This window comes from Homo sapiens, chromosome 6 (genome assembly GCF_000001405.40).
Source record: "Homo sapiens chromosome 6, GRCh38.p14 Primary Assembly".
Lineage (NCBI taxonomy): Eukaryota > Metazoa > Chordata > Mammalia > Primates > Hominidae > Homo > Homo sapiens.
In genome coordinates this window covers 63,991,196-64,007,498 of record NC_000006.12, presented here as the reverse complement: position 1 = coordinate 64,007,498, position 16,303 = coordinate 63,991,196, and the positions used below count along the sequence as shown (strand labels likewise).

The 16,303-nt window shown below is 35.2% G+C and overlaps 1 protein-coding gene and 1 long non-coding RNA gene across 5 annotated transcripts in view; one reads left to right on the top strand and one right to left on the bottom strand.

The window, feature by feature from the left end:
• The window catches only part of EYS (eyes shut homolog), a 1,987,247-nt gene that overhangs the window by 1,699,728 nt on the left and 271,216 nt on the right, over positions 1-16,303 (top strand). For both annotated transcript variants that reach the window (NM_001142800.2, NM_001292009.2), the window contains exon 34: positions 8,316-8,424. In NM_001142800.2, the coding sequence (NP_001136272.1) occupies positions 8,316-8,424 (109 nt within the window). The remainder of the gene's footprint in view (positions 1-8,315; positions 8,425-16,303) is intronic.
• LOC107986608 (uncharacterized) overlaps positions 1-16,303 on the bottom strand; it is a 94,049-nt gene that overhangs the window by 37,055 nt on the left and 40,691 nt on the right. The gene's annotated exons all lie outside the window — the stretch shown is intronic.

Here is a 16,303-nt window from a genome sequence, read left to right as displayed (position 1 = left end):
TGAACTGAAGGAAATTGAGATGTAAAAAAACACACAAAAGATCAAAAAACCTATGTGTTTCTTTTTTAAAAGAATAAATAAGATTGACAGACTGCTAGGTAGGCTAATTGAAATTAAAAAAAAAAAGACTCAAACACAATCAGAGATAACAAAGGGGACATTACCACCAACCCCACAGAAAAACAAAAAACCTCAGAGACTACTTCAAACACCACTATGCACACAAACTAGAAAACCTAGAAGAAATGAATAAATTCCTGGATACACATATCTCACAAGATTGGACCAAGAAAAAATTGAATCCTTGAACAGACCAATAATGTGTTTCAAAGTTGAATCAGTAATAGAAAGCCTAACAACCAGAAATAGCCCAGTACTAAATAGATTCACAGACAAATTATATCAGAAATATAAATAAGAGCTGGTACTGTTCCTACTGAAACTATTCCAAAAAGTTGAGGATGAGGGACTCCTCCTTAATTCATTCTATGAGTTAAGCATCATCCTGATATCAAAACCCAGCAGAGACACAGCAACAAAAACAGAAAACTTCAGGCCAATATCTTCGATGAACATCAATGCAAAAATTCTCAGCAAAATATGGGCAAACCAAATCCAGCAGCACATCACAAAGCTTATCCACCATGACCAAGTAGGCTCTATCCTTGGGATGAAATATTTGCATAAACATATGCAAATCAATAAATGGGATTTATCATATAGAACTAAAGACAAAAACCACGTGATTATCTCAATAGATGCAGAAAAGGCTTTCGATAAAATTCAACATCATTTCATGTCAAAAACCCTCAATAAACTAGGCATTTAGGCATTGAAGAAACATACTTCAAAATAATAAGAGCCATTGATAACAAATCCACAGCCAACATCATACTGAATAGGCACCAGATGGAAGCATTCCCCTTGAGAACTAGAACAAGAAAAGGATGTCCACTCTTACCACTTTCATCCAACATAGTACTGGAAGTCTTAGCCAGAGCAATCAGGCAAGAGTAAGAAATAAAAGTCATCCAAGTAAGAAAAGAGGAAGTCAAACTCTCTCTCTCTGCAGACAATTGATTCTATACCTAGAACACACCATAGTCTCTGCCCAAAATATCTGCTCCTAGGAGTCTCTGCTTCTAGAACTGATAAACAATTTCAGCAGTTTCAGGATAAAAAAAATCCACATAAAAAAATCAGTAGCATTTCTATACACCAAAAACATCCAAGCTGAAAGCCAAATCAATAATGCAATCCTATTCACAAGACCCACAGAGAGAGTAATATCTAAGAATACAGCTAACCAGTGAGGTAAAAGATCCCTACAAGGAGAATTACAAACACTGCTGAAAGGAATTGGAGATGACCCAAACAAATGGTAAATCATACCAATGCTCATGATTAAGAAGAATCAATATTGCTAATATGGCCATACTGCCCAAAGCAATTTACAGATTCAATTCTATTTCTATCAAACTACAAATGACATTCTTCACAGAATTAGAAAAAACTATTTTAAAATTCATATGGAACCGATAAAGAGCCAGGATAACCACGGCAATCCAAAGCAAAAAGTGCAAAGCTGGAAGTTTTATGTTACCCAACTTCAAACTATACTACAAGCCTAGAGTAACCAAAACAGCATGGTACTTGTACAAAAAAACAGACACAAAGACCAATGGAACAGAATAGAGAGCCCAGAAGTAATGCCATACACCTACAACTATCTGATCTTCAATAAAGTTAACAAAAAAAGCAATGGGAAAGGACTCCCTATTCAATAAATGGTGCAGGGATACCTGGCTAGCCATATGCAGAAGATTGAAACTACAGCCCTTTCTTACACTATGTATAAAAGTCAACTCACGATGGATTAAAGACTTAAATGTAAAACCCAAAACTATAAAAACTCTGGAAGATAATGTAGGAAATACCATTCTAAATATAGGCCCTGGCAAAGATTTCATGACAAAGACACCAAAAGCAATAGCATCCGAAACAAAACTTGACAAATAAGACCTAATTAAACTAAAGAGCTTCTGCAAAGCAAAGGAAACTAGCAACAGAGTAAACAGACAACCTGTAAGATAGAAGAAAATATTTCAAACTATGCATCTGACAAAGATCTAATATACAGATTCAGTAAGGAACTTAAGTTAACAAGCAAAAAACAAAAAACCTCACTAAAAAGTGGGCAAAGAACTTAACAGAACTTAACAGACACTTTTCAAAAGAAGACATACTTGTGGCCGAAAGCATATAAAACAAAGTTCAACATCACTAATTATTATAGAAATGCAAATCAAAACCACAAGGAGATACCATCTCACACTAGTCAGAATGGCTATTATTAAAAAGTCAAAAAATTACAGATGCTGGCAAGGTTGTGGAGAAACAGGAACTCTTATACACTGCTGCAGGGAATGTAAGTTAGTTCAGCCATTGTGGAAAGAAGTTTGGCAATTTCCCAAAGAACTTAAAACAGAATTACCATTCGACCCAGTAATCGCATTATTGGATACATCCCCAAAGGCATATAGATTGTTCTGCCAAAAAGACATATGCACCCATATGTTCATCACAGCACTATTCACAATAGGAAAGGCATGGAATCAACCTAAATGCATATCAGTGGTAGACTGGATAAAGAAAATGTGGTAAATAGATACCATGGAATACTACACAACCATAAAAAAGGAGATCATGTCTTTTGCAGCAAAATGGATGGAGTTGGAGGCCATTATCCTAAGTGAACTAATGCAGGATCAGAAAACCAAATACCACACAATCTCGTTTACAAGTGGGAGGTAAATATTAAGTGCTTAGCTCAAAGGGAACACAAAGAAGGCAACAACGGACACTGGAGCCTACTTGAGGGTGGAGGGTGGGAGGATGATGACAGTCAAAAAGACTACCTAACAGTACTATGCTTACTACCTGGGTGATGAAATAATCTATACATCATGACACACAATTTACTTATATAACAAACTGCAACAGGTACCCCTGAACCTAAAATAAAAGTTAAAAAAAAAAAGTGATTCAAACTTTGATAATACTTATTGCTCCTTATTTAAAGAGTGGAAACTGAATTCCAATATTTTCCAATAAAAATAACATTTTATAAGAAAGTATATTAAAATATTAGTTAAAATATGGGGAAAAGTTATAAAAGCATAACAGGCAGAAATAAAACACAAAAAAGAAATATATTCAAAACCTTGAGAATAAAAAAATTCATAGACATTTAAAACTCAGTAGATAGGATAAACTCTAGTCTAAAAACAGTTGAAGAAAAAAATGATACCTAAGAAGAATGTCAGACAGAAAAAAATAAGGGAAGATTTTTTTAAGAGTAAAAGCGAGATTAAGAAATTTAGAGGACTGCTTAACAGGCTTCCAAAAAATGTCTAACATAAGTTCTACAAGTAGAGATTTCAGTGTTCTGTGTATTAGTCCATTCTCATGCTGCTATAAAGGACTGTCCCAGACTGTCTAATTTATAGAGGAAAGAGGTTTAATTGACTCACAGTTCGGCATGGCTGGGGAGGCCTCAGGAAATTTACAATTATGGCAGAAGGGGAAGCAAACATGTCCTTCTTCATGTGATGGCAGGAAGGAGAAGTGAAGAGCAAAGAGGGGGAAAAGCCCTTTATAAACTATCAGATCTCATGAGAACTGACTCACTATCACAAGAACAGCATGGAGGTAACCACCTCCATGATTCAATTACCTCCTACTGGGTTCCTCCCATGACATGTGGGGATTATGGGAACTACAATTCAAGATGGGATTTGTGTGGAAACACAGCCAAACCATATCATTCAGAGAATACCAAAAAGCAATATTCAAGATGATTCAGGTAAAAATTTTCCAAAGTTTGAGGAATTTTTTTTTAATTTTTAAGTTTTGTGGGTCCATAGTGGATGTCTATATTTATGGGGTATATGGGATGTTTTGACACAGATACACAATGTGTAAATCACATCAGTTTAAATGGGGTATCCATCAACATAAGCATGTATCCTTTGTGTTACAAATTAATCCAATCATATTATTTATTTTAAAGCATACAATTAAGTTGTTATTGACTATAGTCACCCTATTGTGCTATCAAATAGTAGATCTTATTCATTCTAACTATATTTTTGTACCCAGTAACAATCGTTCCAACCCCCCAGACCCCTACTACACTTCTCAGCCTCTGGTAACCATTCTATCTATCTTCATGAGTTCAGTTGTTTTAAATTTTAGCTCCCACAAACAAGTGAGAAAGTTTGTCTTTCTATGCCTGGTTTATTTTACTTAACATAATGACCTCCAGTTCCATCCATGTTGTTGCAAATGACAGGATCTCATTCTATTTTATGGCTGAACAGTACTCCATTGTGTATATCTACCACATTTTCTTTATCCATTCATCTATTGATGAACACTTAGGTTACTTCCAAATCTTGGCTATTATGTATATAGGTGAACCTGAAAGGAAGGCATGGAATCCAGGAAACAACAGAAAAATATTGGAAAATTCTTTAATTCTTGTTTTTTAATGAAAGCTGAATTTTTGTCTTAAGAGATAAGATTAAAAAACATATGTTCAGTGTCCAAAATTTAGAAAATACAAATAAGCAAAAGACACAATTTAAAAATCATCCTCAGGCCAGGCGCAGAGGCTCATGCCTATAATCCCAGCTCTTTGGGAGGGAAAGGCAGGAGGATCACTTAAGCCCAGGAGTTCAAGACCCGCCTGGGCAACATAGTGGGACCCTATCTCTATATACACACACACAAAATCATCTTCATTCCCACTGAAGCAGGAAAGTTCCCAGATTCCCCTCACAGGACATGTGACAGGGATGTGCCTCCCCTGTTTGGTCACCCTGCAGCTCAAACCCCTAGAAGTAGCATGCAGATGGGCAGGTACAGAGGCTAGGGTGAGTGCTTTGGGCTCTTGGCCCTGCGGTAGCATCTAGGGGTGGGAGTCTGTGACTCCCGAAACCCAAGTGGGCATGTGTTACAGTGTGCTCCTTTAGCTTTGCTATCTGTGGATGGCTTGTGTGTTAATCAGCTCAGTGGGCCCTCTGCTTTACTGCAAGGGCAGGGGGCCAGTGTGACAGCCTTCTGTATCCTGAGCTCTTGCCCAGTGTCCCAGAAGAATCAGATCATACACAGGCTCAAAGGAAGAGTGCAAGGTTTTATTGAGTGGTGGAGGTGGCTCTCAGCAAGACGGATGGGAGCTGAAAGAGGGGATGGAGTGGGAAGATGGTCTTCCCCTGGAGTTGGGCCACCCAGGGGCTGGACTCTTCTCTGACAGCCCCCAGCCAAACTCCCCTTGGCATCCAGACATCCCTCCTATTCTCTCTTTCTCTGCTACATTGTTCCACCGTGGCTGGTCTGCTAGTCTGCTGGTGTCGACAATCAGCTGATTCTGTGTGTGCCTGCTAATGTCTCAGGTTTATATGGGCATAGGATAGGGGACATGGTGAGCCAGAGTGGTCTTGGAAAATGCAACATTTGTGCATGAAAACATGAGTGCCTATTCTCATTTAGTTTCTCAGGCACAGGCCAAAGGGTGGAGCCCTTGCCAGGGACCCTGCCCTTCTCTACCCAGCACTTCCCTGCCTGCCTCCCATATCACCAGGATACAGAGATAGCCACTGTTGATATTAGTAAAAGTAGCTCTGGTATTATCCTATGCATATTTTTATTAAAATTATATTATGTAATGTAAATTACATGTATCCCTTTTTCTATTTCACGCAAATATCTTTCTGTGTTACTATTATTCTATAACTCTTGTTTAAGAGCTGGATGAATTATTTAAATTACTTGATTTAATTAATTAAGCAATGAACTCTTCTTTTTTTACCTTTTTGCAGCCTTTTCATTTGTTTTAGATAACCTGAACTTCCATTTGGGCAGGTCTTCTAAAAATCTACAAATAAATTGTCTTTTCCAAATCAGAATGTTTCCACCAATATTGCTAAGCATACCTAAAAATTATAAATCTAAAGTGCAAAAATGTTAAGGACACTGAAAAAAAAAGTCGGTTGCATTGAGTTTCAGTTTTTAAAATAACGCAACTTGAGTATTTGATTTTGAATTCCATTATGAGCAATATTAGTAGAAGTGGATGAACAATTCAACTTGACTGTGTAATTTATTTTTACAAAAATCTCCTTAGAGATCCCTGTCTAGTCAGCAAATAATTGCTTTAACTTGGATTTTAATATTAGCACTGAATGATTTATGTACATTAAATAATGTGATTCTCACTAACCATTTATGAGCTTAGAATGATTATCTCCCTTCTGTACATAATCACACTTCAGGGAAGAAAGGTTAAGTGGTTTGCCTAAGATCACTCAGCCAGTCAACGGATTATCTCAGAATATGATCCTTAAGTCTTTAAATCATTAGACTAGGCTGGCCTCAGCAATACTTGAGAGGCATAAGGGATATGCTCTTAGGCTTTTCCTCAAATGATTTATGTGACATAATATCTCATTTGTTTATAGAGTTTTTTTTGTTTCTTATGACACAATTTGGCAGGATCTTGTCTGAGAAAGAGCACCTAAGGGTGGCCTCCCAAAGTGCTGGCATTACAGGCCTGAGCCACCGCGCCTGGCCAGAATTCAAGAATTTTTAACAGTGACCTGATCAGAATTAGAAATGACCTTGGTAAGCTAAAGTGGAAGCCAAAACAGCCGTGGAATAATTTACTGGAAGGATCATATCAGATTCTTATTACCTAGTAGGCAAGGAGAAGGAACCAGCCCACAGTTGCGCCTTTAAGAGGGGTAAGGGAAAGAGGAAGCTTAGGGTTTGTTTTTTGTTTTTTCATTCAACTAAGTCAACAAAGTTATTTTAAGAAAAAATATTACTAAGTTATTTAACCAATAATTGTTTAATAAAATTGACTTTTTGTTTTAAAAATAAAATGACCAACTTCTCCAGGTCTTCCAGGAACTTCTCTGGTTTTAAAACTAAAAGTCCTGCCGGGCTCGGTGGCTCACGCCTGTAATCCTAGCACTTTGGGAGGCCGAGGTTGGGAGGGGGGATGGATCACGAGGTCAGGAGATCGAGACCATCCTGGCTCACACTGGTTTCCATCTCTACTAAAAATACAAAAAAAAATTAGCCTGGCGTGGTGGCGGGCGCCTGTAGTCCCAGCTACTCGGGAGGCTGAGACAGGAGAATGGCATGAACCCGGGAGGCAGAGCTTGCCGTGAGCCGAGATCGCGCCACTGCACTCCAGCCTGGGCGACAGAGCGAGACTCTGTCTAAAAAAAAAAAAAAAAAAAAAAAAAAAAAAAAAAAAAAAAAAGTCCCATGTCTTGGGAAACTCCTCAGTCCCAGGCAAACAAGAAGGTCTGATCGAAATAAAAAATAAAAAATAAGTCTGATCGTTGTCCAAAATTTAAAAAATACAAATAAGCAAAAATGAGAAATGAAATCACCCACACTCTCAGTATGCAGAAACAGCCACTGTTAATATCAGCGAACATATTTGTATTGTCCCTACGAAATAAACTTTATAACAGTGCAAGTTACTGTTGATACAATATGGCAGGTGCCAGGGTAATATTGTTTGAATTTTCTTTAAAACTCTAAATAAGCTGCTTAAAAAATATGCCAAGTACCTTAGTATATGTACCTTTTCATATGATTGCATCATTCTATAAACTCTGATAAATTTTCAGTTGTGTATTCACCATTTTTGCTATTCATTCTACAAACTCCCTTAACCTTATGCTTTTATCTCTGAGATACAGTACCAGCCGATACATTAGCGGCATGCTTTCTGAGTTCTGATAACTGTATCACAGTGTAATCTCTCTGCTCAGGGGTATGCAGCCTTTCATTTCTTATTCCATTTCAATTTCCCTGTAGGCCAGGGAGGGGAAATTCTACCTAGGGAGTTTAGCATCATTTAACATTGATGTTACTGGTCCAACAATCTCCTACATGAGGGAGACCATATGTCAACCACAGTTAGCACTTAAAATTTGTCAATATCTACTTATACACATGAAGCTCTTTTTATTTTGTGGGAGGTTTAACTTTCTGAAAGCATTCCATGTCCAATTTTAAAGTCAGTAGGAGAGAAGGAAAATAAAACGCAGTGTTAGAAAAGAAATACATCTTTTATCTACTTGAAAATGTCCACACTTGGCTGGGTCCATATTTCAGGATTGTTGTGATCCAGAAAGTACCTCTCTCAATGAAGAAGTACTTACTATCCATGTGTGAAGTTACTCCTTTCTTGCCAAAAACACATATCATAATGGCCTCTTCTGTTTTACGTTTAGCTACACAACGCCTGTTGGCAGCCCTGGAGTTGTTTGTATGATTGAAATGACTGCAGATGGAAAACCTCCAGTACAGAAGAAAGACACAGAGATTTCCCATGCCTCTCAGGTAGGTATGCAAATATCCAGTTCCAAACACTAATTGTGCCCTCAGTATTTCAGATAAGTATTTTTTATGTTACTAAGCAGTAATCATATTTCTTAATTGAACAGATTCCTTGTAAAAACTCTCAACAAAGCACCAGAAAATTCAACTCATGCTTTAGGGATGATTAAATATATTTAATGTTGCCTGTCACTATCAAAGTTTTATCAAATTTAACAATAAACTGATTTTCCTTTCACACTTTGGATTTAATACATTGTGCTTGACTTTAAAAAAAAAAAAAAAAGACAGCTCCAGAGTGGGGAAAGATTGGCAAAATATGACAATTTTTTAAAAACTTGTGTTTTTATAGGATATGATAGTACTTGCACTGTTAAAAAAGGCCGTTCCCAGTCTTCCAGATTTGCATTGGCCAGAAAATTTCTCTTAGAAACATTGAATGAGTCTAAATTAAAAGAAAAGAGAATGTCTATCCCTCCAGAGACCAGGCAATTTGCTGAATTCTTTCTGTTTTAATGATGTGGTTGGTTACATTTTTCTTAGTATAACTTTATTGCAATACATTCATGATAAAAATTCCTAGTTCATTTGATCATCATGGAGAATTAATCTGTATAATTAGAGATCTAATTTTAGTAGACATTAAAGCAGCCACTATGCACTGCCTTAATGAATTGGAAATTTCATTTTATTTTCATTTCTTCTATATAGTCTCTTGAGTATATATAGGCATCCAAAAGAAGCACATAATAACATCTAACATTTGTATAAGCACATTGTATTTTCCAAATTATGGCCTTAAATATTATCTCATTCAATATCTGCAAGAACCCTGAAAAGGTAGAATGATTATCTCTTTTCTACAGCTGAAGGATGCTGAGTATCTTATTTGACCAGAATTTTATAGTGATAAGAAAGGAGGCTCTATCTCAGGCTCTGTTTCCCAGCACTTTTGTGTCCCTTTATAATGCACTGTACTGATCTTCATTTGCTACTGCAGCCAACTCAAAATTGTTCAAGTGGGTTGTTAGGGTAGGAATAAAATTGTTTTTATGTTTTAAAAAGTCATTCTAGATCCCGAGAGGGCCACTTATTTAGATTTAAGACATGGAATATTCAAGCAGTAGAAAATATATGAATGACTCATAGTGAAAAATGTAAAGCATTCAGTATGACTACATCTTTATTAACTCCTTATAGTTGCCCATTTTTTATATTGAAAGATCTGTATTTTCTTATGAATAGCATAAAATATGCTACCAACTTCTACATTAATGAATCACATTTTTAACACATAGAATCCAGTAAGTGCTCAATAAATATCTTTTTGTTGTTGAAAATGTTAAATATGACATATTTATAGCCTCTTTGACAAACCAGTTACCTTGCCCTTTAGGCTGACGAAATGAAATACCGATCAGAATGCTGCAAGTTGCACATGCACACACAGGGGAGTAGAATTTATTATTTCAATGGAAAATAATCTGGATAATTTTAGGGTGGTAAAGAGAGAATGCATGTAGGCACTCTAAAGCCTCGGTGGCTGTTCCCTGCTGCCGCTACAGGAGCTGTCACATGCTTTTATAACTCTGCCTCCTTAAGTTCAGCCCAATTCAAGTGCTCCTAAGCCTGGGTGAATCACTGCTACCTTCTAACTTGTGTTAACCCCAAAGCTCAATTTGGTCACGCTTGTGGAGGCTATATGTGGTGAGATTCTCTCAGACACACTTCAGTCCCAGAGTTACGGTATATTACAGCCTTCAGGGCCCAACCTCTATGGCACATGCCCTTTCTCTCCAAGTTCTGGCAGGATCTTGTCTGAGAAAGAGCACCTAAGTGGCTTTTCTACTGCATGTTTTCTACTGCCTTTTCCTCTATTATTACAGTAGGAGGATGATGGAGGTTTGTGGAATAAAGATATAAGAACTGAAAATTTTGTGAGCTGAAGCTATTTAATTTTAAGAGTCACGGACTTTGGCACAAAATATCAAAATAGGTTCTAGCACTGCCTCTACTCATTATAATTTAGTAGGGATTGTTAAGTATATTCAAAGAATCATTATGTACAAAATAGTATTTTTCAGTACATAAACCCAAAACAAAGCCAGATTGACACCAAAGGGGTTAAATCTCAAATGTGATATTCTAGGTTGGATAAGAAAAAACACCTGTATTAATTTGGAGGTTTTTCTGGTAATTTTGAAAGTAAAAAGTAAAAATTTATTCTTAATTCTGATAATAGCTAAAATATGTAATACTATGTTCCAGACACTGTTCTAAGCACTTTTCATATTTTAAATTATTTAATTGTTACCAAAAAATATGAAGTAAATACTATTATTATCTTCAAATACAGAGAAGGAAAATAAAGCACGAGGATGAGTTTCCTGCCCAAGATCACACAGCTATTTGGGGATTCAAACCCAGACATTCTAGCTAGATAGTCCATGCTTTTAACCAAAACTATGTGGTCTCACAACATTTTATATGATGTTTTCTTTTTTTTATTTCTAATCTGATTTATTGTTTTGTTTTGTTTTTTTACTTTAAGTTCTGGGATACATGTGCTGAACGTGATTTATGATGTTTTCCTTTATTCTATTGCAACTATTACTAAGCAACAAAATTTTATGTGTACAGTTAATTATATACACATTATTGCTAATTACTGTTAATTATATACACATTATTATGGAACAGATCTCTAGAACTTTTTCTTCTTATCTGAAACTCTATAGTCATTGAAGAGCAACTTTTCATTTCTCTCTCCCCGCAACCTCTGACTACTTTCTGCTTCTATGAGTTTACTTTCTATACCTTATTTAAGTGGAATCATACAGTATTTGTACTCTGTGGCTGGCTTATTTCATTTATCATAAAGTCCTCAAGGTTCATCTATGTTGTACCATATGAAAGATTTCTTTCTTTTAAAAAATTGAATATTCCATAATATCTACACATATATCGTTTTCCTTTTTTATTATATATTTAATTGACAGGTAATAATAGTATATATTTATCAGGTACAATGTAGTGTTTTGATACATGTATACTTTGTGGAATGATCAAATTCAGCAAATTAGCATATCCATTACCTCAAATATTTATCATTTCTTTGTGGTAAGAAATTGAAAATCCTCTCATTTAGTTGTTTTTAAATATGTTATTATTAACTATAGTCACCATGCTGTGCAATAGATCACCAAAATTTATTCCTCTTATCAGATTGGAACTTTGTACCCTTTGACCAATGTTTTTCTTTTTTCTGTCTATCCCCATCCCTGACCAGCCTCTGCAATCACCATTGTACTTTCTATTTCTATGAGTTCAACATTTTTAGATTCTACATATAAGTGAGATCATACTATACCACATTTTCTTTATCCATTCATCCATTAATGGACATTTATGTTGTTTCTATCTTTTGAATGATGTGAATAATGCAAATAATGCTACAATGAACATCCAACTGCAAATAATCTCTTCTATATCCTATTTATCCTATTTCCAGTTCTTTTGGATAAATACCCAGAAGTGGTATTGCTAGATCAGATGGTAGTTCTATTTTTAATTTTTTGAGAAACCCCCATACTGTTTTCTACAGTGGCTACATCATCTTACATCCTGACCAACCGTGCTCATAAATTTCCACTTCTCCACCTCCTCACTAAGACTTGTTATTTTCTGGTTTGGGTAATAGCCATCTTAACAATTATAAAGTGATATCTCATTGTGGTTTTGATTTGCATTTCCCTGATGATTGGAGATGGTGAGCATCTTTTCACATACCTGTTGGCCATTTGTATGTCTTATTTGGAAAAATGTCTATTCAAGTCTTTTGCCTATTTTTTAATCAGGTTATACTGGGGTTTTGTTTGTCTGCTTTGTGTGTTTGTTCATTGCTATTGAGTTGTAGAAATTCCTTATATGTTTTGGATATTAACTCCTTATCAAACATATGGTTTGAAAATATTTTCTCCCATTCTGTAGGTTTCCTTTTCACTCTGTTAATTGTTTTCTTTGCTGCACAGAAGCTTTTTTTGACATAGGTCCCACTTGTCTATTTTTGCTTTTGTTGCCTGTGCTTTTGGTGTCATAACCAAGAAATCATTGTCAAAACTAATGAAGCATTTTCCCCATGTTTTCCTCTAGGGGTTTTATGGTTTGGGTGTTAAGTTTAAGTCTTTAATCAACTTTAAGTAGATTTTTATGTATAGTGTAAGACAAAGATCCAATTTAATTTTTTCAATTTTCAAAATCCTTGCTTTTTAAATTATACCATTAATTTCTTATACAATAAAGGGATTTCAGAAGAAACAAAAGAAAACATATTATTGATTGTCTTACTGATTCATTGAAAATATTATCATAGAGCTGAACAAATTGATTCTTGATGATGAGTAGGGGTTACCTTCTTGAAAATAGTTTCCTACTGTGTGGAAAATATTGTGGAAAGTGGTCTGGAGTCTTCCTTAGAATGTGAATTTGTCTTCATTCTTTTGTTATTATAGTCAATATAATGGTCAGTAGAAGGTTTGCTATCCAAGATGTTGCTGAAGCTCTCCCATCAGGAACAGCCTTAGTGAAAAAGGAATTCAAGGCCTTTCAGGGTCTCTCGTCTCTCAGTTACTAGTGGAAGAGAATTGACTTGTGACTAACAGGGAATTCCTGGGACATTCTTAAAATAATGAGAATCCTTGGGAACATGCACTATTTCCTACTCCCATTAGAGTAATTGTTGCATAAGCAGATTGAACATATTTATCTGTTCCTACTTAAGGCTTGCCACTAGACTGATGTATCAGAATTTTAATGCCGTGTAATTATATAGTGTAAATTAAAGCAGTGTGGCATACTTGTTGAGAATAGAATATTTTACATTTAACGACATCTTCAGTGACTGTACCTCAGCTAAGTTCTGAATTTTCTACTACCTCAAGACATCTTTCAGATATATGCCAAATGCTTGCTCATTATAAAATGACACTCTTTTGCATGTGAATAGCCAGTTTTCCGAAGACCATTTGTTGAAGATTATTTTCCACATGCATTTGTGGTACCCTTTTCAAAGATCATTTGACCATGTGTCCATGGGATTTTTCACAGCCTCTTATGTTTCATTGGTTTATACATTTCTTTATGCCAGCACCATACACTTTTGATTACTATAGCTCTGTAATATACTGTGAAGTCAGGAAGTGGGAACCTCTCCCATTTTGTATTCTTTCTCAAGAATGTTTTGGCTATTTGGCATCCTTTGGTGCCATATAAATTCCAGCATTGTTTTTTCAATTTTTGTAAAAATATCTTTGGAATTTTGGTATGGATTGTATTGAATCTGTAGATTACTTTGGATAGTATGGACATTTTATTGATGTTCCATGAATGTAAAGTGTTTTTCTTATTTATTTGTGCCTTTTTTCTCTTTCAAGAATGTTTTGTAGTTTTAAGTTACATGTTTTTTGCCCTCTTAAGTTTATTCTTATGCTATTTTATCCTTTTTCATGTATTATAGATAAAATTGTTTTCTTATTTGTGATAGTTAATGGTTAGTCTATAGAAATGTAATTAATTTTTGCTGATTTTTGTATCCTGAAATTTTGCTAAATTTGTTGGCTCTAACAGTTTTTGTGTGTGTGCATGTATGTCAGAGATATCATTAAGGTTTTCTATGTATATTATCAGGTCATCTGTGAACAAAAAATAATTTTACTTCTTTATTTCTTATTTGGATGCATTTTGTTCCTTTTTTTTTTCTTTTGCCTAACTGCTCCAGCCAGGACTTCCAGTACTATGCTCAATAAAAGCAGTGAGTGGGCATCCTTATCTTGTTCCTCAACTTGAAGGAAAAGCTTTAGGTGTTCACCATTGAGTATGATATGTATTCTGTTGAATTAATTTCCTCCTAATCCTAATTTGCTGAGTATTTTTTCATGAAAGAGTTCAAATTTTGTAAAATGACATTTTGCGTTTATTGAGATGATCCTGTGATTGTTATCTTCCAGTTTGTTAATGTAATTATTATTACATTCTCCTTCCTGCGGCCTTGTAAGGCAGGAAGGAGAATGAACGCAGGAAGAACCAAACACTTATAAAACCATCAGATCTCAAGCGAACTGCCGCTTTCACAAGAACAGCATGGGAAAACTATCCCCATGATGAAATTACCTTGATCTGGTCTTTCCCTTGACATGTGGGGATTATGGGGATTTAGGGGATTACAATTTAAGATGAGATTTTGGGTGGGGACACAAAGCCCAACAATATGATCATGGAATATATTTTTCCATACTTTCACTTTCTCATTGTGTGTATCCTTAAATCTAAAGTGAATCTCTTGTAGGCCAAGTTTTCTTGTAACTCATTTCCTTTCTTGCTTTCTTCCTTTGTGACTTTTTAATGACATAACTTGATTTCATTTTTTGTTTTTTTGTATCTTCTATAGGTATTTTTTATGGTTACCATGAAGCTTACACAACATATTTTATAGCTATAGCAGTACATTTACATTTTAAGGTAATAATAACTTCAATATCACATACTAAAACTCTATTCCTTTATTGCTCCCACACACACACTTTATGTTATTAATCATAAAAATAACCTCATTTTATATTGTGTACATGTTAACATATTTTATAATTATAGTTATTTTATACTTTTGCCCTTAATTTCTAAATTCCTAAAGTTAGCATGCAATATACCCAGGTAACAAACCTGCACATGTACCCCTTGTATCTAAAATAAGTTGAAATCTTTAAAAAGAAAATATTTCAGAATAAAAACCATAAAAATAACAATACAACAATAAAATAATAGCACAAATGGAAAATAAATAAATTCCAAAATTTATTTACACACCATGATTACAGTATTACAGTATTCTATATTTGTATACATACCTACCATTTTTAGCCAGCTTTATACTTTCAGAAGTTTTTGTGTTGTTGTCTAGTATTCTTCTATTTCAACTGGAAAAACTTCCTTTAGCATTTCTTGTAAGGAACATGTAATGATTAAATTCCTCAGTTTTTGTTTATGGGGAAAGTCTTTATGTCTTCTTCATTCTTGGAGGACAGTTTTGGCAAATACAGTATTCTTGGTTTGCAGGTTCCTTTAAAAAATGTTTAGCACTTTAAATATATCACCCCTTTCCCTTCTGATGTGCAAGGTTTCTGTGGAAAAAAATCTACTGATAGTCTCATGGGAGCTCCCATTTACATGACAAGTTGCCTTTTTTGTGCATCTTTTAAAATTCTCTGGTTTTGGCTATAGTATGTCTCAGAGTGGACTTTTTTAGGTTCATTTCAGTTGGAGTACTTCAGCTTCTTGATTCTGGGTGTACATTTTCTTCCCCATATTTATGGAGTTTTCATTCATTATTTCTATGAATAAGCTTTTTCTTCTTTCTTTCTCTCTTCTCCTTTTGAGACATCCAAGTGATCCGTCTTTGAATTTTATGATTCTTTCTTCTGCTTGACCAAGCCTGCCGTTGAAATTCTGTAATGAATTTTTAAATTCAGGCATTACAGTTTTCAGCTCCAAAATTTTTGGTTGGTCCTCTTTCATATTTTCTCTTTTTTGATAGTTTCACTTTGTTCAGCATCACTTTTCTCTCCTCACTGAACATTTTCAAAATGGTTACTTCGAATTTTTTGTCAGGTAATTCATATAGATCTCTTTTTAAAGGGTTGTCTCCTGGAGATCTATTTTGTTCCTTTGATTATGCCATGCTTTCCTCTGTCTTCCTTTGCTTTCTAACTTTGTGGTGGAATCCACACATTTGATAAGACAGTCACTTCTTCCAGTCTTTTTGGACTGGCTTTTTGTACAGGGAAAGACCTTTAACAGTCAGTCTGAGGTCCTCTCCAGTGTTTCCTAT